The 1,413-nt window shown below is 38.4% G+C and overlaps 1 annotated feature.

Moving 5' to 3' along the window:
- Positions 201 to 943: an enhancer, noted in NCBI's record as "OCT4-NANOG hESC enhancer chrX:119466056-119466798 (GRCh37/hg19 assembly coordinates)". NCBI's record gives its function as "activates a minimal SCP1, AML or CMV promoter by ChIP-STARR-seq in primed H9 embryonic stem cells {active_cell/tissue: H9 hESC(primed)}" and the evidence as "EXISTENCE:reporter gene assay evidence [ECO:0000049][PMID:30033119]".

Below are 1,413 nucleotides of genomic sequence, written 5' to 3'. Positions count from 1 at the left end.
CTGGGTGCTAAAAGGATCGATAGTTTTTTCTTAACAATGTCAGGAATACAGTAGCTTTCAGTTTACCAAATAATGTTCCGGAATTTAATAGAGGTGGCGGGGCTTTACACTATGTGTGGAGCAATGTTCTTCCCCCTTTTTGTGAGCTCCTTTGTATTTGTAAGTCCTTAATAAATGTGTCAGATGAATCTCCTTGGAGGAGGATGTCATCAATGTAATGTCATACCTGGTCATACGTGTGCCCCTACAGAAAGGTGAGTGCAATTGGGATCTTGCCTGCAAAGATTATGTGCCAGGCAAGGCCTGGCAAACATGTATTGTGTCCTTTAGGTGGTGGAGACAAATGCAATTGAGAGGCTATGAAAAAGACACTAAACAGAACATATCCAAATCTAAAATAGGACAATATTTACCAATTGCTCATTGGATGAGTCAGTAATTCCAATAATATTGAGTATTGGGTATGGGGGCCTCAGTGGATGAGACCATAGCATTGAGGTTGTAGCTACCCAGTGTGACGCCCCATTCATTCTTTTCAGGTTTAAGATCAGGACAATTGAGATGTTAAATAGAGGAGCAGTGGGAGTAATCACTCCTTCACTAATTAGGTCTTAAATAATAAGTTTTAACCCTTGAAGCTCTGTTTTAAGTTACATTGGGCCATAGTAATTATTTTAACTGGGGGGATCCATGGCATCTCATTTAGTTTAGCCAGTTTTTAAGTGTGAAAGACATAATTTAACTTTATTTTTCGTGGGTCAGAGTAACCTTGCCCACCACAGGATACTTTAGGATAATGGGTACTACGACCATAAGGAATTTAGACAAAATATTAATTCTGATGGTTAAGGTGAGGCATATTTATTTGTCCTCTATTTTATATTTGGCAACTCCCTTAAGATTTTAGGGGGTATCTTGTTTAAATATAATGGGTCCCCATGTATAACTGTAATTTGAGCCTCAGTATTGATTAAGTCCATGAAAGCCTGCCAATTAGTGCATTTCGGCAAATGATTTTTTATTGTTCTTTTCTTTTTTCTTTTTTGTTCCTTTTTTCTTGTTCTTTCAGCAAATGTTGATGTTAATTCAGAACCTATTTTGTAGAGGCACAAAAGCCAATCAGAGCCTTTTTTCTTTTTGTTGTGAAAATAATTTTGTCAATAATATCTAATTATGTCAAATTGTGGACCTCTGTTTCAATTTAATTTTTTTCCTGCAAGCTTGAAATTTGAGCTCTTTATTGCAATGGAGGCATAAGCAGGAGAGTGGCGTAGCAGAAGAGCACTGTGCCCACAATTCTGCTACAGACCCGCCCTTTCTCCCACACAGGCTTCCTTTTTGTCCACACTATTTCTGCTGTAAAAATCCCCTCATACTAGGCCAGGAGCAGTGGCTGATGCCTGTAATCCCAGT

The sequence above is a fragment of the Homo sapiens genome, chromosome X, assembly GCF_000001405.40.
Source record: "Homo sapiens chromosome X, GRCh38.p14 Primary Assembly".
NCBI classification, from domain to species: domain Eukaryota; kingdom Metazoa; phylum Chordata; class Mammalia; order Primates; family Hominidae; genus Homo; species Homo sapiens.
The sequence above is the reverse complement of the archived record's forward strand: the minus strand, read 5'-3'. Positions and strand labels throughout refer to the sequence as shown.